Here is a 23911-nt window from a genome sequence, read left to right as displayed (position 1 = left end):
CAGTGGCTCACGCCTGTAATTCCAGCACTTTGGGAGGCCGAGGTGGGCAGATCACTTGAGGTCAGGAGTTCGAGACCAGCCTGGCCAACATGGTGAAATCCTGTCTCTACTAAAAATACAAAAAAAAATTAAAAAAAAAAAAAAAAAGCCAGGCATGGTGGTGTGCACCTGTAGTCTCAGCTACTTGGGAGGCTGAGGCAGGAGAATTGCTTGAACCCAGGAGGCAGAGGTTGCAGTGAGCCAAGATCGTGCCACTGCATTCCAGCCTGGGTGACAGAGCAAGACTCCATTTCAAATAAATAAATAAATAAATAAAATAAGATGCTCCTCAACTTACAACAGGGTTATATCCTGAAAAACCCATTGTAAGTAGAAAATATTGTATGTCAGAAATGCATTTAATATACCTAAACTACCAAACATCATCGCTTAACCTGACCTACCTTAAACACGCTGAGAACACTTATATTAGCTTACAGTTGGGCAAAATCATAAACACAAAGCCTATTTTATAATAAAGTATTGAAAATCTCACGCAATTTATTGAATACTGTACAGAAAGTGAAAAATAGAGGTCGTATGAGTACTTGAGGAACAGTTTCTACTGAATGCGGATCACTTTTGCACCATTGCAAAGTAGAAAAATCCTAAGTCAAGTCATCATGAGTTGGGGACTGTCCGTAAGAGTTATTAACAGAGGATTGGAATGGGGATTGGGTAGTAAGGAATAAAGAGAAGCCTGGGCAGATGCAGGGAACAGCCGATATGGGCTTTTCACCCCAGGCTGAGACAGAACAACTCAAAGAAGAAAGCTCAGGGCTGAGATCCGGGCTGAGATCCAGACTTCGTGTGAGAGGACACAGCTGTGAAAGACAGAGGTTTGCTGAGGCTGTGGAGTTGCAGCTGGAGAAGGTGCTGGGCTTGGGGCACTTTGCAGAGAAGGGACCTTGTGCATGTCAAGGGAAGCCATTCATGTGGGGGTACTGTGCGCTGCTGACCATTGGGTGCTGCTGAAGTTAGGCACCGCCCAAGAAGTGTGCAGCCAGAACGAGGTGCTGCAGAGGCAGAGTGTATGTGCTACAGGAGCTGGTATTGCAGATGGCACAGGTGTTGCAGGTGTCTGCCTAGAGGAGCACAATGGAACCAGGAAAAGCAGCCCTTGCCCCTTCAGTGTGTCAGCAGCACCCTCGATTGACAAAGTTTCACTCTGTGCTTACTGTCATGGGAGAGGTATTTACAGGGCCCAGATCTATTATTACAGAACAGACAATGAAGACTGAATGTGGATATAAGAGGCAACAACTAGCATAACTCATTAAATCTAATAGTGCACACATAAACACAAAATAACCTAGTAATTTCTTAATATTGACTGACAGGATATATGCACGTGATGTATTTATAAATTCATGGAAAACTTATATAAAAAACAGGCAACCATAATTGAGTTTAGGGAGGAGAACAGGATGGCTGGTGGACAGAAAAGGGAGAGAGGGAAGTTTGCTTTTTTTCTCCTGCATACCCTTTTATACCAGTTGAGTTTTGTCCCATGTGTGCATACTATTAAAAAACCATAATACTTGACCAGGTGCAGTGGCTCACGCTGGTAATCCCAGCACTTTGGGAGGCCGAGGCGGGTGGATCACCTGAGGTTGGGAGTTCGAGACCAGCCTGACCAACATGGAGAAACCTTGTCTCTACTAAAAATACAAAATTAGCCACGCATGGTGGTGCCTTCCTGTAATCCCAGCTACTCGGGAGGCTGAGGCAGGAGAATTGCTTGAACCCAGGAGGCGGAGGTTGCAGTGAGCCAAGAACGCGCTATTGCACTCTAGCCTGGGCAACAAGAGCAAAATTCTGCCTCAAAAAAAAAAAAAAAAAAAAAAATCATAAGATTCCATGCAAATTATTTTTCCAGAGCTGCTTCTAACAGCGTTTAGTTCAAGCAGCGGTCAGTAAAGTATGGCCCTGGACTGTCCAGCCCTCAAGCTAAGAATGGTTTTCACATTTTTTAAAGCAACAGAGACTCAGTGGCCTACAAAGCTAAAATATTTACTGTGTTCTTTTACAGAAAACAAACTATTTCTATGACAAAATACTTTTGAATCATAAGCTCATCATGCCCTTTATTCTAGTTTACATCAGTCTTCATAGGACTCCCAAGTCATCCCTCATTGACCTAAAAACTGTCCTCATGGTTGTAAGCCCTCCCTCCCTTCCTCCATCCATCTCTCCCTCTCTCTTTTTCTCCTTCCCTCTCTCCCTTCCTTCCTTTTCTTTCATAAAGAAAAGAGGTTTAGTTGACTCACGGTTCTGCAGGCTTTACAGGAAGCATGGTGCTGGCATCTGCTCGGCTTTTAGGGAGGCCTCAGGAAACTAAAATCATGGCAGAAGGTGAGCACACATGTCACATGATGAAAGCAGAAACAAGTGAGAGACAGTGGGGGGGCAGGGGGCAGGTTTCATACACTTTGAAATGACCAGATCTCACGAGAACTCAGTAACAACACAAAGGTAACACCAAGCCATGAGGGATCTGCCCCCATGATCCAAACACCTCCCACCATGCCCCATCTCCAACACTCGGGATAAAATTCAACATAAGTAGAGATAAATATCCAAACCACATCATTCCACCTCTGGCCCCTCCCAAATCTTATGTCCTTTTCACAATGCAAAATACAACCATGCCTTCCCAACAGTGCCGCAAAGTCTTAACTCATTCCAGCATTAACTCAGGAATCCAAAGTCTCATCTGAGACAAGGCAAATCCCTGCCACCTATGAGCCTATAAAATAAAAAACAAATTATTTACTTCCAACATACAATCAGGGTTCAGGGATTGGGGAAATATTCCCATTAGGGAAAAACCTGCCAAAAAAGGGGGCTATAGGCCCCATGCAAGTTCAAAACCCAGCATGGCAGTCATTAAATCATGAAACTCCACAATGATCTCCTTGGTTTCCATGTGGCACGCTGATATGAGGGTTGGGCTCCCAAGGCCTTGGGCAGCTCTGCTCCTATAGCTTTGCAGAGTTCAGCCTGCTGTCACAGGCTGGGTTGAGTGTCTGTGGCTTTTCCAAGTGCAGGGTACAAGCTGCCAGTGGCTCTACCATTCTGGAGAACAGTAGCCCTCTTCTCACAGCTCCACTAGGCAGTGCCCCAGTAGGGACTCTGCGTGGGGCCTTTAACCCCACATTTCCCCTCCATGCTGCCCTAGTAGAGGCTCTCTGTGAGGGCTCTGCTCCTGCAGCAGGGTTCTGCTTGGACACCCAGGCTTTTCCATACATCCTCTGAAATCCAGGCAGAGGCTACCAAGAATTCACCATTTTTGCATTCTGTGTGCCTGCAGGCTTACCACCTAATGGAAGCTGTGAAGGCTATGGCTTATGCCCTCCAAAGTAACAGCCCAAGCTGTACCTAGGCCCCTTTGAGCCCCTGCTGGAGTTGGAGCCATCTGGATGCAGGGAGCAGTGTTCTGAGGCTGCACAGGGCAACAGGGCCCTGGGCTCAGCCCAGGAAAATATTCAGTCTTCCTTGGCTTCAGGGCCTATGACAGGAGGGGCTGCCCCATAGGTCTCTGAAATGCCTTTGAGGCCTTTTCCCCATTGTCTTGGATATTACCACTTGGATCCCTTTCAGTTATGCAAATATCAGCAAGTGGTTGCTCCACAGCCTGCTTGAATTCCTTGGAGAAAATGGTTTTTTTTTTTACCACCTGGCTAGGCTGCAAAATTTCCCAACTTTTAGGCTCTGCTTCCTGTTTAAATGTAAGTTCCAAATTTAAGTCATTCATTTGCCCCCACATCTGAGCACAGGCTGTTAGTAGCAGAAGGCCACATCTTGAATGCTTTGCTGCTTAGAAATTTCTTCTGCCACATACGCTAGGTCATAGTTTTTAAGTTCAAACTTCCACAGATCCCTAGGACACAAGCAGAATGCAGCCAAGTTATTTGCTAAGGCATAACGTGTGACTTTTGCTCCAGTTCCCAATAAATTCGTTTCCTTTTGAGACCTTGTCAACCTGGACTTCACTGTCCCTATCACCATCAGCATTTTGGTCACAACCACTTATCTAGTCTCTAAGAAGTTCCAAACTTGCCGGGAGCGGTGGCTCACGCCTGTAAACCTAGCACTTTGGGAGGTCGAGGTGGGTGAATCACTTGAGGTCAGGAGTTCGAGACCAGCCTGGCCAACATGGTGAAACCCCATCCCTACTAAAAATACAAAAATATTAGCCAGGCATGGTGGTGCATGCCTGTAACCCCAGCTGCTTGGGAAGCTGAGGCAGAAAATCACTTGAACCCGGGAGGCAGAGGTTGCAGTGAGCCAAGATCACGCCACTGCACTCCAGCCTGGGCGACAGAGCAAGACTCCGTCTCAAAAAAAAAAAAAAAAAAAAAAAAAAAAAAAGTTTGAAACTTACCCTCATTTTCCTGTCTTCTTCTGAGCCCTGTAAACTCTTCCAACCACTACTCATTACCCAGTTCCAAAGCTGTTTCCACATTTTCAGGTATCTTTATAGCAATGCCCAACTTCTCGGTACCAATTTTCTGTATTGGGGCATTCTTGCACTGCTATAAAGAAATACCTCAAACTGGGTAATTTACAAAGAGGTTTAATTGGCTCATGGTTCTGCAGGCTTTACAGGAAGCATGGTGCTGGTATCTGCTTGGCTTCTAGGGAGACCTCAGGAAGCTTACAGTCATGGTGGAAGGTGAAGGGGTAGCAGACACATCACATGGTAAAAGCAGGGGCAAGTGAGAGAGCTAAACTCCCGCTTTCTGATCACATATCCCAACCTGCTCCAACTCCCTAAATCCTTCCACTGTGTCTACATGGTAGAATCTCCTACATCCACAACTTCTTATGTCAACTTTCCTTCTATTTCTTGATCTAACTCCTCATTCTCAAGCTTTTTTTTTAACCATGACCCACAATAATAAATTTTACATCAAAACACCATACGCACATACATACACACACATATTATATGTGTATACACAACTGAAGTCCCACAAAAACAAACCTTACTAAAATAAAGCTATATCAGATATGATTTTATTAATAGCCAAATAAACAAAAATTCAGAAATACAAAGTTCCGTGAAAGAGTTGTTTACATGCACTGTCAACTGTTCTCTCATTCTTATGTTCTCTCCCTCCAGGATTTTACCTCCTCCATTCCACCAACACAGCTCTTATGAGGGTCACCAATGAGCTCCACATTGCTAAATTGGTGAATACTTCTCAGTCCTCACTTTAGTTGACCCATTAGCAGCATGTGACCTATTGGCTTTCACATGGCCCATCACCCCTCTTCCTCAAAACACTGCCTTCATTTGGCTTCCAGGGCATCCCTCTTGATTTTCCTAACTCAATGAGAGCTCCTCCTTAGTCTCCTGCACTGTTTTTCCTCATATCCTATCTCTAACCACTGAGAGAACCCCAAAGTTCTCCTCTGACATCTTCTCTATTTGAATGCACTTCCTCAGCTATCTCCTCTAGTTCAACAGCTTTAAATTTACTAACTTCTACATTTCCATCTCTAGCCCAGACCTCTCCTCTGAACTATTTTTTTATTTTATAATATAGACGGGGTCTCACTTTGTTGCCCAGTCTGGTCTTGAACTCCTGGGCTCACATGATTCTCCTGCCTTGGCCTCCCAAAGTGCTGAGATTACAGGCATGAGGCATTGCACCTGGCCTGGACTCTTTATTCACATCCAACTTCTACTAATGGGCATCTCAATTTTCACATGTTCAAAACCCAATTTCTTTCCTGCCACAAAAGTACTCCTTATGCAGACCTCCATCTCATTAAATTCTAACTTTATTTTTCCAGTTGCATAAGCCAAAAATCTCGGAGTTACACTTGACACTCCTCTTTCATACACCACATGTAATCAATCTACTGAAAAATCCTGGTGGCTCCACTTGGAAAATATACTCAGATCCAACCACCACTACCCACACTGGCTCTAACTAGTCAGCCTGTTTCCTCCCTTCAAACCTATGGTGTATTTTCAACACAGCAATCAGAAGTCTCTTTCTGTAAGTCAGATCATGCTATACCTTGGGTTCAAAACCTTTCCATGGACTCCCAGCTTAAAAAAGTAAATGCTGAAGACCTTACTATCGCTGACATATGGCCTGGCCCTTGACTACCTCTCTTAGCTCCATCTCCTTAATCTCTCCTCCTTACTTCCACTCCAGCCACGATTAACTCCTTGTTGTTCCCCAAACATGTTAAATACACTTGTGTCTTAGGGCCTTTCTATTTGTTATCTCCCTTGCCTGGGATACTCTCCCTCTAGTTGTACCTAGAACAGTTGAATCATCGCATAATTGCTAAAAGGACAAGTGACCATGTGACAACGTTCTTTCATCTTTTATGCTTGTAACACCAGAATTTACTTGAAAAAGTTTGTAAGTGGACAAGTATGAAAGACAGATATGTACACAAAGTAACAGGAAGGTAAAGATGATGTGAAAAATGAAAACCAATCCACTGAAAGTCATTCTAATTGGTATTTATAAATGTAAAAACAAAAATGTTTTGCTGTTATGTAACAAAGAATATAGCCATCATCTATCACTTCAACAAAACTATGAGCCCTAAAGTTTTCAGAAGTATTGCAGTTTGGACAGGTGTGGTGGCTCATGCCTACCGTCCCCAGCACTTTGGAAGGCAGGAAGATCACTTGAGGCCAGGTGTTCAAGGCCAGCCTGGGCAACACAGTGAGACCCTATTTCTACAAAAAATAAAAATAAATTAAAAAACAAAAAGTATTGCATTTTGACAAAGTGAGTTCATGAAGAATACAAATAATAAGGTAGAACATAGTAGAGATGCATTTGAAATCCAAAATCCGTATTTAAAGGTAGGTATGTTCCAGATTCATGCATAATGACAGCTGCTTTCAAAGGATGTAATGCCTTTTAGGTATACATAAACATTCAAAACTGGGAAAATATGGGAAAAAATGTGGGTCTCCTATATTTGGATTCTCATTAAAATTGCTAACAAAGTTAATTTTCACCATCCCTTTATTCTTCTGTAAATTGTTTATAAAATGACTTGAAAAAGAATGCAGTCAATTCTCATTACTTGAGGTAGTTATGTTCTATGAAGTTGCCACAAACACGCAAATTAGTGAATACTGAGCCATTGCTCCTAACAGAAATACAGGGTTAGGTTCTTGTAAGCCTTTGGTCACATTTTCACCAACTTATAAATACGTAAGCTTGTTTTATATCTGTTTCTGTTTAAAGACACATTATTTAATAAATATAGACCTGGCATGGTGGCTCATATCTGTAATCCCAGCACTCTGGGATGCCAAGGTGGGTGGATCACTTGAGGTCAGGAGTTCAAGACTGGCCTACCCAACATGGTAAAACCCCACCTCTACTAAAAATACAAAAATTACGCTGGGTGCAGTGGCGGGTGCCTATAATCCCAGCTACTGGGAAGACTGAGGCAGGAGAATCGTTTGAACCCGGGAGGAGGAGGTTGCAGTGAGCCGAGATTATGCCATTGCACTCCAGCCTGGGTGACAGAGTGAGACTCCATCTCAAAAAATATAATAATAAATAGTGATGACTCATCATCATCTAACTCCCACTCAACAGCACTATAACTCATGACTAAACAAAGGTTATCTAACACATGTATTCTCTAAGGCACCTCACAGCCCGCATGCACCTTGGAATACCACTATATAGCACTTCAGCACAATGCTTGGGAATCACTTTAAACAGTAAAATCACAAACAGAAGGCACAAAAATGTGAAAAATGTAGAACTATATAAACTGCTTTCAAAAAGGACACTTGTTTATAGTAAGAAAGCTACACAAAAAACTGAGCACTGTTCAACCCCAGCTGGGAATATCTGGGTAAGGTTCTCAAATTTTTCACCTCTGTGTATGTCCATGAAAAACCATGAAACTGCCATGAGTATTGATGTTAGGTTACAAATAAATTTTAGCAAGTAGGTGCCTTTACAAATACAGATTCTACAAATAAAGAGAATTGACTGTAAATAAAATTTTATAAGCAAAAACTCTGAAAATAAAAACAAATAGTTAAAATGGTAATGGGAAGACCATATAAACAACAGAAAATTAAAAGTTCTTAAACACATGAAAAGGTGCTGAACTTCACAATAAGATAAAAATGTACAAATATGAGATAATCATTTTTAACTATTCAATTGACAAAGATTCAAAGGTTTGATAAATTATTGGCTATTTTGCAGGAAACAAACTCTCCATGTTGGTATAAATATAGATTAATATAACCTCTACTGAAAACAATTTAGCAAACTTTTGTTTAAAATTTAAATGTAGGTCGGGCACGGTGGCTCATGCCTGTAATCCCAGCACTTTGGGAGGCCAAGGCGAGCAGATCACAAGGTCAGGAGTTCAAGATCAGCCTGGCCAACATGGTGAAACCCCGTCTCTACTAAAAAAATACAAAAATTAGCCGGGCATGGTGGCGTGTGCCTGTAATCCTAGCTACTCAGGAGGCTGAGGCAGGAGCACTGCTTGAACCTGGGAGGCGGAGGTTGCGGTGAGCTGAGATCACGCCATTGCACTCCAGCCTGGGCAACAGAGCAAGACTCCGTATCAAAAAAAAAAAAAAAACAATTTAAATGCAATAGCCTCTTCAACACAGTAGTTCTAATTCTAGATACTTAATCCTAAAGATGCTGACTGTACTATTAAATAACAAATGATTAGAAACAAATTAAACTCTCATCCACAAGAGCTCAATTCATTAAGCGTGGTACACATCTGTAAGAATATCCTGTAAGTGCTTAAAAGAATGAGAGCTTTTTTTTAAATTTTTAATTTTTGCATTTTTCTTATTTTATTTTATTATTATACTTTAAGTTTTAGGGTACATGTGCACAATGTGCAGGTTAGTTACATATGTATACATGTGCCATGCTGGTGTGCTGCACCAATTAACTCCTCATTTAGCATTAGGTATATCTCCTAATGCTATCCCTCCCCACTCCCCCCACCCCACAACAGTCCCAAGAGTGTGATGTTCCCCTTCCTGTGTCCATGTGTTCTCATTGTTCAATTCCCACCTATGAGTGAGAACATGCGGTGTTTGGTTTTTTGTCCTTGCGATAGTTTACTGAGAATGATGATTTCCAATTTCATCCATGTCCCTACAAAGGACATGAACTCATCATTTCTTATGGTTGCATAGTATTCCATGGTGTATATGTGCCATATTTTCTTAATCCAGTCTATCATTGTTGGACGTTTGGGTTGGTTCCAAGTCTTTGCTATTGTGAATAGTGCCGCAATAAACATACGTGTGCATGTGTCTTCATAGCAGCATGATTTATAGTCCTTTGGGTATATACCCAGTAATGGGATGGCTGGGTCAAATGGTATTTCTAGTTCTAGATCCCTGAGGAATCGCCACACTGACTTCCACAGTGGTTGAAGCAGTTTACAGAACTCTCCACCCCACATCAACAGAATATACATTTTTTTCAGCACCACACCACACCTATTCCAAAATTGACCACATAGTTGGAAGTAAAGCTCTCCTCAGCAAACGTAAAAGAACAGAAATTATAACAAACTGTCTCTCAGACCACAGTGCAATCAAACTAGAACTCAGGAATAAGAAACTCACTCAAAACCACTCAACTACATGGAAACTGAACAACCTGCTCCTGAATGACTACTGGGTACATAACGAAATGAAGGCAGAAATAAAGATGTTCTTTGAAACCAACGAGAACAAAGACACAACATACCAGAATTTCTGGGACACATTCAAAGCAGTGTGTAGAGGGAAATTTATAGCACTAAATGCCCACAAGAGAAAGCAGGAAAGATCCAAAATTGACACCCTAACATCACAATTAAAAGAACTAGAAAAGCAAGAGCAAACACATTCAAAAGCTAGCAGAAGGCAAGAAATAACTAAAATCAGAGCAGAGCTGAAGGAAATAGAGACACAAAAAACCCTTCAAAAAATTAATCCAGGAGCTGGTTTTTGGAAAGGATCAACAAAATTGATAGACCGCTAGCAAGACTAATAAAGAAGAAAAGAGAGAAGAATCAAATAGACGCAATAAAAAATGATAAAGGGGATATCACCACCGATCCCACAGAAATACAAACTACCATCAGAGAATACTATAAACACTTCTACGCAAATAAACTAGAAAATCTAGAAGAAATGGATAAATTCCTCGACACATACACCCTCCCAAGACTAAACCAGGAAGAAGTTGAATCTCTAAATGGACCAATAACAGGCTCTGAAATTGTGGCAATAATCAATAGCTTACCAACCAAAAAGAGTCCACGACCAGATGGATTCACAGCCGAATTCTACCAGAGGTACAAGGAGGAACTGGTACCATTCCTTCTGAAATTATTCCAATCAATAGAAAAAGAGGGAATCCTCCCTAACTCATTTTATGAGGCCAGCATCATCCTGATACCAAAGCCAGGCAGAGACACAACCAAAAAAGAGAATTTTAGACTAATATCCTTGATGAACATTGATGCAAAAATCATCAATAAAATACTGGCAAACCGAATCCAGCAGCACATCAAAAAGCTTATCCAGCATGATCAAGTGGGCTTCATCCCTGGGATGCAAGGCTGGTTCAACATACGCAAATCAATAAATGTAATCCAGCATATAAACAGAACCAAAGACAAAAACCACATGATTATCTCAATAGATGCAGAAAAGGCCTTTGACAAAATTCAACAATCCCTCATGCTAAAAACTCTCAATAAATGAGGTACTGATGGGACGTATCTCAAAATAATAAGAGCTATCTATGACAAACCCACAGCCAATATCATACTGAATGGGCAAAAACTGGAAGCATTCCCTTTGAAAACACGCACAAGACAGGGATGCCCTCTCTCACCACTCCTATTCAACATAGTGTTGGAAGTTCTGGCCAGGGCAATTAGGCAGGAGAAAGAAATAACGGGTATTCAATTAGGAAAAGAGGAAGCCAAATTGTCCCTGTTTGCAGATTACATGATTGTATATCTAGAAAACCCCATTGTCTCAGCCCAAAATCTCCTTAAGCTGATAAGCAACTTCAGCAAAGTCTCAGGATACAAAATCAATGTACAAAAATCACAAGCATTCTTATACAGCAATAACAGACAAACAGAGAGCCAAATCATGAGTGAACTCCCATTCACAATTGCTTCAAAGAGAATAAAATACCTAGGAATCCAACTTACAAGGGATGTGAAGGACCTCTTCAAGGAGAACTACAAACCACTGCTCAATGAAATAAAAGAGGATACAAACAAATGGAAGAACATTCCATGCTCATGGGTAGGAAGAATCAATATCGTGAAAATGGCCATACTGCCCAAGGTAATTTACAGATTCAATGCCATCCCCATCAAGCTACCAATGACTTTCTTCACAGAATTGGAAAAAACTACTTTAAAGTTCATATGGAACCAAAAAAGAGCCCGCATCGCCAAGTCAATCCTAAGCCAAAAGAACAAAGCTGGAGGCATCACGCTACCTGACTTCAAACTATACTACAAGGCTACAGTAACCAAAACAGCATGGTACTGGTACCAAAACAGAGATATAGACCAATGGAACAGAACAGAGCCCTCAGAAATAACGCCGCATATCTACAACTATCTGATCTTTGACAAACCTGAGAAAAACAAGCAATGGGGAAAGGATTCCCTATTTAATAAATGGTGCTGGGAAACTGGCTAGCCATATGTAGAAAGCTGAAACTGGATCCCTTCCTTACACCTTATACAAAAATTAATTCAAGATGGATTAAAGACTTAAATGTTAGACCTAAAACCATAAAAACCCTAGAAGAAAACCTAGGCATTACCATTCAGGACATAGGCATGGGCAAGGACTTCATGTCTAAAACACCAAAAGCAACGGCAACAAAAGCCAAAACTGGGATCTAATTAAACTAAAGAGCTTCTGCACAGCAAAAGAAACTACCATCAGAGTGAACAGGCAACCTACAAAATGGGAGAAAATTTTTGCAATCTACTCATCTGACAAAGGGCTAATATCCAGAATCTACAATGAACTCAAACAAATTTACAAGAAAAAAACAGACAACCCCATCAAAAAGTGGGCGAAGGACATGAACAGACACTTCTCAAAAGAAGACATTTATGCAGCTAAAAAACACATGAAAAAATGCTCACCATCACTGGCCATCAGAGAAATGCAAATCAAAACCACAATAAGATACCATCTCACACCAGTTAGAATGGCAATCATTAAAAAGTCAGGAAACAACGGGTGCTGGAGAGGATGTGGAGAAATAGGAAGAATGAGAGTTTTAAATACTGATATGGTGTGTTCTCCAAGATATATTGACAGAAAAGCACTTATCTATTGAAGAACATTATATGAATTACCTCTAAAGATAAAAAATTTTAAAAGTTCAAAAAGGGTAATGATGATATATCATGACAGAACTTAATTACTTTTTTTCTTTTTGAGACAGTCACTGAGTCACCCAGGCTGGAGTGTAGTGGCACGATCTTGGCTCACTGCAACCTCCGCCTCCTGGGTTCAAGTGATTCTCATGCTTCAGCCTCTCCAGTAGCTGGGATCACAGGCGCCCACCACCATGCCGAGCTAATTTTTTTTTTGTATTTTTAGTAGAGATGGGGTTTCACCATGTTGGGCCAGGCTGGTCTCGAACTACCGACCTCAGGTGATCCACCCACCTCAGCCTCTCAAAGTGCTAGGATTACAGGTATGAGCCACCATGCCTGGCCTTAATTACATGTTTTTTAAAAATTCACAATAAATGTATACACAAACATTTTAAAAAACACAAAAGGGTACACTGTGAAAAGTGTACAGAAGGGCTGGGCATGGTGATTCATGCCTGTAATCCTAGCACTTTGGGAGCCCGAGGTGGGAGAATGGCTTGAACCCAGGAACTCGAGACCAGCTTGGGCAACATAGATCATGTCACTACCAAAAAAAAAAAAAAAAGTGTACAGAAGCAGAGTTGCTCTTGTTTTTTGTTTGTTGCTTTGGTTTGGTTTTTTTTTTTGAGACAGGGTCTCAGTCTGTTGCCCAGGCTGAAGTGCAATGGTGTGAACACGGCTCATTACACAGCCTCAACCTCCTGTACTCAAGTGATCCTTTTGCCTCAGCCTCTCCAGTAGCTGGGACTACAGGCATGCACCACCATGCCTTGCTAATTCTTTCATGTTTTGTAGAGTCAGGGGTTTTGCGTTGTTGCTTATGCTGGTCTTGAACTCCTGGGCTCAAGTGATCCGCCTGTCTCGTCCTCCCAAAATGCTGGGATTACAGGTGTAAGCCACCGTGCCTGGCCCAGAGTTGCTCTTAGTAACGTGTTTTTTTTTTTTTTTTTTTTGAGACGGAGTCTCGCTTTTTAGCCCAGGCTTGAGTACAGTGGCACAATCTCGGCTCACCACAACCTCCACCTCCCGGGTTCAAGCAATTCTCCTGCCTCAGCCTCCCAAGTAGCTGGGACTACAGGGCGTGCCACCATGCCGGGCTAATTTTTGTATTTTTAGTAGAGACAGGGTTTTACTATGTTGGCCAGGCTGGTCTGGAACTCCTGATCTCAGGTGATCCACCCGCCTCGGCCTCCCAAAGTGCTGGGATTACAGGTGTGAGCTGCCGCGCCCAGCTGCTCTTAGTAACTTCTGGAATTTGATGTCTAAATTGAATCCATTATTTCAAACATCACAAGACTTAAGTTCATAAAAACTTTTTTAAAAAGTTAACTCTGGGTCAGGCGTAGTGGCTCAAGCTTGTAATCCCAGCACTTTGGGAGGCCGAGGCAGGTGGATTACCTGGGGTCAGGAGTTCCAGACCAGCCTGGCCAACGTGGCGAAACCACGTCTCTACTACTAAAAATACAAAAATTAGCCAGGCATAGTGGCACATGCCTGTAGTCCCAGCTGCTCGGGAGGCTGAGGCAGGAGAATTGCTTGAACCTGGGAGGCAGAGGTTGCAGTGAGCTGAAATTGCGCCACTGCACTCCAGCTTGGGTGAGAGTTAGACTGTATCAAAAACAAAAAGAAATTAACTCTGTAGTTTATTTCTGTTAATGGCAACCCTGCAGAAAAGTTAAACTTAGAATATGTCTCAAAGTAATCTCTGTCTGATCCCTTAATGAAGGATCTCTTCAAACACAGCAACTTTTGTCTGTCTTCTGAATGTAGGTACAGCTGTGGCTGTAGAACAGACCATGTAATTTTCATCTAGATTCCTTACAACCACAAGGACAATTATTACAATGAAAGCCAGAGAACTAGCTCAGTTTTGATTTTATTACTAGGATAAATCCAGCCAGGTAGTGTGGTGGCTTTGATGTTTTCTGTCTATATCTAAGGGGGAAGCTGCTTCATTATTCGATATTAAGATAAATAGGGCCTAAAAATAGTCCTAGGTCAAACACCATTATGATTAACTCAACTTTCAAAACCATTTACCTAATGTAGGATTTGTTAATAAGTCTTCTTCAAAATTAGCAAGAAATACAACTAATGCCTAACCCGTCATGATGAATTAAAGACTGATCCAAAAATAACTGACAGTTCTCTTCCAGTTGCCCTCTTCTTTGACAATCCCACCAGTCTATGCTCTAAGCTCACGCTTGACTTCCAAAAACTGCCAGATATTGTAGACACCATGAAGAATAAGATGTACTACCTTTTCTCTAATGAAAGAGGAAATACAGATATAAACAATATATAAACATAATATAATGTGAAAAGCTATGTATAGAAATAAATAGAGAGGCCGTGTGCGGTGGCTCACGGCTGTAATCCCAGCACTTTGGGAGGCCAGGGTGGTCGAATCACTTGAGGGCAGGAGTTTGAGACCAGCCTGGCCAACATGGTGAAACTCCATCTCTACTAAAAATACAAAACTTAGTGGGGCATGGTGCCACATGCCTGTAATCCCAACTACTCACGTGGGTGAGGCACGAGAACTGCTTGAACCCGGATAGCAGAGGTTGCAGTGAGCTGAGATTGCACCACTGCACTCCAGCGTGGGCAGCAGAGCGAGACTCTGTCTCAAAAACAAACAAAAATAAGAATATGTAAAGACATGAAAAATGTGACATTAAGTGGGAATACACATGCACATACACAAAATGCTATGGTGGCATCCATATCAAAATATGGGCCAAAGGGCAAAATAATATGCAAAAAAGAAATACAATCACAGATACAGCTAATTTAAAAAAAAATTAAATATTTTTATTATATACTTTTAAACATATAGAAGATAGAAAAAAACAGTACAATGAACAGCCATGTCCACCAGTTAGATTCTGTAACATTTTGCCACATACGCCTCACATACATTTTGTTAAACCATTTGAAACATTTTAAGACACTCTAACACTTCATTCCTAAATGCTTAAGTATGCAAATTAAGACAGTCTTTTATAAACTACAACACCCTTCTCACAGCTCATAAAATTACCAATAATTATCCAATATCATTCAAAATCTAATCCACATTCAAATTTTCTCAACTGCCTCACCACCGTGCTGGCCTCCCACCCCCACCTCAGTCTTTTACAGATGGTTTTTCAAAATAGAGTCCAGTAAAATATTTCACATTGCATTTGGTTATTACATAACTTTTAATCAAGAAGAGTTACCCATTCCACTTCCTTTTTTCTTTCCCAACACTTGATATTTTGAAGAAATGAGGCCAGTTATCTTCTATAACGCTTCACATTCCAGATCTGTCTGATCGTTTCTTTAGTGGTGTCATTTAGTGCTGCTCTATGCCAGCATTTCCTGCAAATGAGAAATTAGAACCAGAGGCTTGACGAATTCCAGTTAAACCATGTCCTCTGTGGACACCAGTTAAACTTGACTAGAGCACTTCATATGTCAGAGTGTACAGTGCAGTATGCCTAGGTTATCCCATATCACAATAAAAAAAAGTCTGCTGGTCTGCCTACTAGTGATATAAAATGGCATCATATCCTAAAGCTCTTTATTGTGAAAGTATGTTTCTTCCACACAACCAACCAGTTAAGTATGAGAATTCTAGTAGGGATGTAGATTAACCTTTTATCTAATAGTTTTGGCATCAAAATTCTTTAATATTGATTGTTTTACATTAACCTTTCAACTTTCTAACATCTGAACTTTTTAAATGTTCAAAAACATTTGTTTTCCACAAACCATAAAGTTTTACAAAAGTAAGATTCACTTTCATAATGCTGGCAGACTTACTCCTTAATTTAAGGAATGTGAGCACCTTCCTTCTTTTTGATTTTGTCTAAAACCCTGTAAGGAAAATAAAGGAAGTTAAAAAAAATAGCTATATAGATATAGATAGCTATATATAGATAGCTTTATATGGATGTTAAAAAGCATTTTGTTTCACAAGACATTTTACTTATTTTATTCAACAAAATATGATCAGAAATTAAGTTGATAGTCTTTTAATGTACTTTAAAAGTTATCCCAAAGAAAACAATTATTAGGCTGCAGTTAAGGTTTTCTTGCAGTGGCTCATGCCTACAATCCCACAACTTTGGGAGGCGGAGGTAGGGGGATCACTTGAGACCTGGAGCTTGACACCACCCTGGGCAACATAATGAGACCCTGTCTCTACAAAAAATTTAAAAATTAGGCCGGCGTGGTGGCTCAGGCTAGGCACAGTGGCTCACGCCTGTAATCCCAGCACTTTGGGAGGCCGAGACAGTTGGATCACCTGAGCTCAGGAGTTCGAGAACAGCCTGGCCAACATGGCAAAACCCCGTTTCTACTGAAAGTACAAAAAATTAGCCAGGCATGGTGGTGGGGACCTCTAATCCCAGCTACTTGGGAGGTTGAGGCAGGAGAATCACTTGAACCCAGGAGGCGGAGGCTGCAGTGAGCTGAGATTTACACCACTGCACTCCAGCCTGGGTGACAGAGCAAGACTCTGTCTCAAAAAAAAATAAATAAATAAAAATAAAAATTAGCCAGGTGCAGTGGCATTATCACTGTAGTCCCAGCTACTCGGGAAACTGAGGTGAGAGGACTGCTTGAGCCCTGGAGGTCAAGGCTGCAGTGAGCTGTGAATGTGCCCTTGCACTCCAGCCTGAGCAATAGAGTGAGACCTGGTCTCTAAAAAATAAAATTTAAATGTAAAAAATTTAAAAACATTGCCGGTCACAGTGGCTCATGCCTGTAATGCCTTGCCTTGCACTTTTGGAGGCCAAGGCGGGCGGATCACCTGAGGTCGGATTTGGAGAACAGCCTGACCAACATGGAGAAATCCCGACTCTACTAAAAATACAAGACTAGGCCGGGCACAGTGGCTCACGCCTATAATCCCAGCACTTGGGGAGGCTGAGGCGGGTGGATCAAAAGGTCAGGAGATCGAGACCATCCTGGCTAACACAGTGAAACCCCATCTCTACTAAAAACACAAAAAAATTAGCCGGGTGTGGTGGCGGGCACCTGTAGTCCCAGCTACTCGGGAGGCTGAGGCAAGAGAATGGTGTGAACCTGGGAGGCAGAGCTTGCAGTGAGCCAAGATCGCGCCGCTGCACTCCAGCTTGGGGGACAGAGCAAGACACCCTCTCAAAAAAAAAAAACAAAAAACAAAACAAAACACAAAACTGGCTGGGCGTGGTGGCATATGGCTGTAATCACAGCTACTCGGGAAGCTGAGGCAGGAGAATCACTTGAACCCAGGAGGCGGAGGTTGCAGTGAGCCGAGATTGCACCATTGCACCCCAGCCTGGGTGACAGGGCAAAACTCCATCTTAAAAAATAAATAAACTAATTAATTTAAAAAAATATTTTTCTTCCTTTTTTTTTTGAGACGGAGTTTCGCTCTTGTTGCCCAGGCTGGAGTGCAATGGTGCAATCTTGGCTCACCGCAACCTCCGCCTTCTCGGTTCAAGCAATTCTCCTGCCTCAGCCTCCCAAGTAGCTGGGATTACAGGCATGCGCCACCATGCCCGGCTAGTTTTGTATTTTTAGTAGAGACAGGGTTTCTCCATGTTGGTCAGGCTGATCTGGAACTCCCGACTTCAGGTGATTCGCCTGCCTTGGCCTCCCAAAGTGTTGGGATTACCGGCGTGAGCCACTGCGCCCAGCTGATTTTTCTTCTTTCAGTATGTCCAATGATGTTCCTGAGCCCGCTTATACCTTATTTTTTTTTTTTTGAGATGGAGTTTTGCTCTTGTTGCCCAGGCTGGAGTGCAATGAGGTGATCTCGGCTCACCGCAACCTCCACCTCCCAGGTTCAAGCAATTCTCCTGCCTCAGCCTCCTGAGTAGCTGGGATTACAGGCATGCACCACCACGCCCGCCTAATTTTGTATTTTTTTTAGTAGAGACGGGGTTTCTCCATGTTGAGGCTAGTCTCTAACTCCCGACCTCAGGTGATCCGCCTGCCTCGGCCTCCCAAAGTGCTGGGATTACAGGTGTGAGCCACCGTGCCCGGCCTATACCTTATTTTCATCAAATAAAATATATGACCTTAAACTACCTGTGTCATACTTATTAAAATGAGACCATTAAACACCAGTATTCACTAAATAAAAAAAAAATTTAAAGTCAAAAATTAATACTAAAACATTTGTTTTTCTTGTCAGATCTAGCCCAAATGTCCTCTGTCTCTCTTCTGGCTTCAATGCTTTCTATCTTTCCCTACATGTATACTAGCTTGCAGTGGCTTCCCACTTCATTACTAATCTACACCTAACAGACCGTAAGATGTATTGAAAGATTTGTTACTAATGAGTATCAAAGTTATAACCTATTTTATGTTATTTCAACAACATTATTCTTAGTCATTTGCATTCTGCTTAGATTTCTAAGACAAAAAGATAGAGGTTAAAAGCTAGACTCAGAGCCTATCTCAACCACGTGGCTTCAGTAGAACAAAGGTTAAGAATTGTTAGCTTAAGGCAATGACGTATTAAAAACACTTAAGGCCAGGTGCAGTGGCTCACGCCTGTAATCCCAGCACTTTGGGAGGCCTAGGCAGGCAGATCACGAGGTCAGGAGATCGAGACCATCCTGGCTAACACGGTGAAACCCCATCTCTACTAAAAATACAAAAAATTAGCCGTGCATGGTGGCACACGCCTGTAGTCCCAGCTACTTGTCGGGCTGAGGCAGGAGAATGGTGTGAACCCGGGAGGCAGAGCTTGCAGTAAGCCAAGATCATGCCACTGCACTCCAGCTTAGGAGACAGAGCAAGACTGTCTCAAAAACAAAAACAAAACAAAAAAAACCCAAAAAACCAAAAAAACAAAAAGAACACAAACGAATGTTCATAGCAACATTATTCATTATAGCCCAAAAATAAAAACAACCTAAATGTCCATGAACTGATGAATGGATAAAATGTGATATAACCAAACAACAGAATATTCAGCAATAAGAAGGAATGCAGTACTGGTGCATTCTACAGCATGGATGAATCTTGAAAATAGCATGCTAAGTGAAAGAAGCCAGACACAAAAGACCACATATCGTATAATTCCGTTTATATATAATATCTAAAATAGACAAATTCATAGAGACAGAAAGTGTACTGACTGCCTAGGGCTGGGGAAAATGAAGGTAACAGGGTTTCTTTTTGGGGTGATGAAAATGTTCTTAAATTGTAGTGATGGTTGCATAACTGAAAACCAAAACCACTGACTTGTATACTTTCTTTTTTATTTTATTTTTTGAGACAGAGTCTCGCTCTGTCGCCCAGGCTGGAGTGCACTGGCACAATCTCGGCTCACTGCAAGCTCCACCTCCTGGGTTCACGCCACTCTCCTGCCTCAGCCTCCCGAGCAGCTGGGACAAAAGGTGCCCGCCAACATGCCCGGCTAATTTGTTTTTGTACTTTTAGTAGAGACGGGGTTTCACCATGTTAGCCAGGATGGTCTCGATCTCCTGACCTCGTGATCCACCTGCCCTGGCCTCCCAAAGTGCTGGGATTACAGGCGTGAGCCATTGTGCCCAGCCAACTTGTATACTTTCAAAGGTAAACTGCACACCATGTGAATTATTTCTCAAGAAAGTTATTTAGAACATAAATTATACCAATACTTTATATATACATTATGTATTTTTTTCAAATATTTCATAATTTAAAAAACACAAAAGCCTACAGTGTTACAGTCAGATAACTGATCTCAAAACAAATTACAAGCTGTTGATTTATTACTTTTTGGTCATTAAAATGAGGAATTCATGATACATACAATATACCAAGGTTATACTACAACAACTGAAGCGTGACTTTTTTTTCCCTCCGCAAATTCTCACTCTGTTGGCCAGGCTAGAGTGCAGCGGTGTGATCTCGGCTCACTGCAACCTCTGCCTCCCAGGTTCAAGTGATTCTCCTGCCTCAACCTCTCAAGTAGCTGGGATTACAACTGCCCGCCACTGGGCTAAGTTTTGTGTATTTAGTAGAAATGGAGTAGTCACCATGTTGGCCAGGCTGGTCCTGAACTCCTAACCTCAAGTGATCCACCTGCCTCTACCTCCCAAAGTACTGGGATTATAGGTGTGAGCCACCGTGCCAGGCCTTTTTCTTTTTTTGAGATGGAATCTCACTCTGTCACCAAGGGTGGAGTGCAGTGGCACAATCTCAACTCACTGCAACCTCTGCCTCCCAGATTAAAGCAATTTTCCTGCCACAGCCTCCCAAGTAGCTCGGATTACAGGCATGTGCCACCATGCCTGGCTAAATTTTTTTTGGTATTTTTAGTAGAGACAAGGTTTCATCATGTTGGCCAGGCTGGTCTCAAACTCCTGACCTCAAGTGATCTGCCTGCCTCGGCCTCACAAACTGTTGGGATTACAGTTGTAAGCCACCATGTCTGGCCTTAACTTTTAAATAAGAATATTAATGGGGGCACACACAGATGATACATTTAAAAACATACACCTTTAAGTCAGTTGTTTCTTCTATATTAATTTACTAAAAATACAAGTGCCTACAATATCACATCATAATTTTAGCAGGGCACAAGAGCTTACTTTTAAAAATAATTTTAGGCCGGGCGCGGTGGCTCACGCTTGTAATCCCAGCACTTTGGGAGGCCGAGGCGGGTGGATCACGAGGTCAGGAGATCGAGACCACGGTGAAACCCCGTCTCTACTAAAAATAAAAAAAAATTAGCCGGGCGTGGTGGCGGGCGCCTGTAGTCCCAGCTACTCGGAGAGGCTGAGGCAGGAGAATGGCGTGAACCCGGGAGGCGGAGCTTGCAGTGAGCCGAGACTGCGCCACTGTACTCCAGCCTGGGTGACAGAGCGAGACTCCGTCTCAAAAAAAAAAAAAAAATAAAATAAAATAAAATAATTTTAAATGTTCTGACTAAAATACAATAGAACATGTCCGTAGGAGACTAACGTATAAAGTGACAAGTTTGAAGCCATACTCCCCAAGGTTCAATGTGGTACACATTACCCCAGATCTTTGTGCATTAAAAAAATTTCATTTCTCTTGGAAGGCCGAGGCGGGTGGATCACGGGGTCAGGAGATTGAGACCATCCTGGCTAACACAGTGAAACCCTGTCTTTACAAAAAAATACAAAAAATTAGACAGGCGTGGTGGCAGGCACCTGTAGTCCCAGCTACCTCTGAGGCTGAGGCAGGAGAATGGCGTGAATCCAGGAGGCAGAGCTTGCTGTGAGCCAAGATCACGCCATTGCACTCCAGCCTGGGCAACAGAGCAAGACTCCGTCTCAAAAAAAAAAAAAAAAAAAAAAGAATTTCATTTTTCATTTATGAAAAATTATCCCATCTTTTCCATTCCCTACAATCAATTTCAAATCAGAGATTAAAACATTATTTAGAAAAAGTATAATTTCAATTCAAAAGTGTATAATCAAAATAATCTAACAATAGCATGAAAGCTTTTTAAAATTAACTAAAATTATACTTAGGGACAATGCAAGAGTAATTTAAGCCTCAGACAGTTGTATTTTTTTATTTTTATTTTTTAGTAATATAAAGAGAGAAGCAAGTAGTATTTTATAAATTTACAAAACAAAGTCACATAACTACAAAAAAATTGTCAGGAAAAGATGCTGAGTGATTACTTACCATATAATAGCCAGTATGATAGCCACTCATGTACCATGAAATTAACATACTTCCCAAAGCATCAGCATCATCAAGAGAATCTGGACATATGGGAGGTGGTGGGGGAATTATCTGGAGACAGAAAAAGATATTGTTTATATCCAGTAAACAAAAAAGTAAAGTCTGGAGATTTATATTATATAGTGAATGCTGGAAATTAATTGTATTTTTGCTTATATAATCTCCTACTTAAATTTCTTTTTTTTCCCCTAAACAAAGACGAGGTCTTGCTATGTTGCCCAGACTGGTCTCAAACTCCTGAGCTCAAGTGATCCTCCTGCCTCAGCCTTCTAAAATGCCGGGATTACAGGCATGAGCCACTGTACCTGGCCTTAAATTTCTTAACATAGCTAGCATTTGGAGAAAACCAACCAATAACAACAAAAGACCAACAAAATTAAATTTAACGAGGACGAAAAGACAGCAAGTGACATAAAAAGTTTAAACATTTTGATTTAGACTATGTATCTGTTCCACTATGAAGCTATGAGTAAAAAAAAAAAATCAAGCATAAATACTTTCATGCTTTTCCTTAATACACACACACACACACACACACACACAGCTCACATAGCATTTCGAGGGCGATTTTAAGTAAATGTCTTGGGTAGAACACCTGTTCTAACCCCATCCCAATACACAGTATGCCAAAAAGTATCTTTTTATCTATTGTTAATACCTAAAAATCTACCATTAGAAATCCAGTTTACAGCTGGGTGCGGCAGCTCACGCCTGTAATCCCAGCGCTTTGGGAGGCCAAGGCGGGTGGATCACCTGAGGTCAGGAGTTCAAGATCAGTCTGGCCAACATGGTGAAACCCCATCTCTACTAATAAAACAAAAATTAGCCGGGTGTGGTGGCAGTCGCCTGTAATCCCAGCTACTTGGGAGGCCGAGGCAGAATTGCTTGAACCCAGGAGGCGGAGGTTGCTGTGAGCTGAGATCACACCACTGCACTCCAGCCTGGGGTACAAGGGCAAAACTCTGCCTCCAAAACAAAAAAAAAAAAAGAGAGAGAAAGAAAAAGAAATCCAGTTTACATCAGAAGCTAACATCCAACTATACCTAGAAGGGCAAACACTAATTCCTTATATAAGGTATAATTAAATCCCTTCTAACAGGAACTACCTCCTTATGGCATAGACACCAACTTCTGCCAGGAAAGAAGGCAACCTAGAGCTTAGACTTGGGACTACAAGAGCACTGCATCTGGGTAACAGAAAGGCATTAAAAACAAACAAAACCCAGAGGTTTAGTTCAAATTTCTACCCATTAGAATCTGGCCCAAGGGATGTTCTACAATGACATTTTACAATCCTCTATTCTGCTAATTATCAAATTGTATGTGAAAGCAAAATCTAACCTATACTCTTTTTTACTTACTGGTGGTCCAGAAGGAAATGGAGGCAGCCAGCATGATAGTAAGTGGGGTGGTGGTGGTGGCGGTGGCGGTGGTGGGCCATTGAATTTTAGACCTGGCTATAAGGAATATTTCAAAGGAAAATTAACTTACCAATTTCAATATGATAGGAATAAAAAGGACTCAAAACCAAAAGGATAAAAATAATTACCCAGAATATTTGTTTTATACATATCAAAAAGATTAAGTGAAATTTCATGTACCAAATCCTGAAGTCAAACAGACTCATAAGTCAAATGACAACCTCTGGATTTTTCTCATTTCCTTTCTATGTAGACATTAAGGAAGTAAAACAAAATAAGAGTGGTGATTACCTAATAAATCAGAGACAGTCTATTTAGCAAAATTATTTCAATCATAAAAGACT

The 23911-nt window shown here is 41.5% G+C and overlaps 1 protein-coding gene across 14 annotated transcripts in view, besides 1 other annotated feature; it reads right to left on the bottom strand.

The window, feature by feature from the left end:
- Positions 1–2309: 2309 nt before the first annotated feature.
- Positions 2310–23911, bottom strand: part of SMN2 (survival of motor neuron 2, centromeric) — a 41006-nt gene continuing 19404 nt past the window's right edge. For 2 of the 14 annotated variants that reach the window (XM_011543600.3, NM_017411.4), the window contains 4 exons: positions 23508–23603; positions 22087–22197; positions 16264–16317; positions 15243–15819 (listed from right to left, as the gene is read on the bottom strand). In XM_011543600.3, coding sequence (XP_011541902.1) covers positions 16267–16317; positions 22087–22197; positions 23508–23603 — 258 coding nt within the window. In that variant the 3' untranslated portion in view covers positions 15243–15819; positions 16264–16266. Of the gene's footprint in view, positions 2377–15242; positions 15820–16263; positions 16318–21338; positions 21557–22086; positions 22198–23507; positions 23604–23911 lie in introns of those variants that run through there. The other 12 variants (XM_047417619.1, XM_047417621.1, NM_022876.2 and 9 more) reach the window with 7 other exon arrangements.
- Positions 3287–3990: an enhancer, noted in NCBI's record as "OCT4-NANOG-H3K27ac hESC enhancer chr5:69384675-69385378 (GRCh37/hg19 assembly coordinates)". NCBI's record gives its function as "activates a minimal SCP1, AML or CMV promoter by ChIP-STARR-seq in naive and primed H9 embryonic stem cells {active_cell/tissue: H9 hESC(naive and primed)}" and the evidence as "EXISTENCE:reporter gene assay evidence [ECO:0000049][PMID:30033119]".

Source organism: Homo sapiens, chromosome 5 (assembly GCF_000001405.40).
Source record: "Homo sapiens chromosome 5, GRCh38.p14 Primary Assembly".
Lineage (NCBI taxonomy): Eukaryota > Metazoa > Chordata > Mammalia > Primates > Hominidae > Homo > Homo sapiens.
The sequence above is the reverse complement of the archived record's forward strand: the minus strand, read 5'-3'. Positions and strand labels throughout refer to the sequence as shown.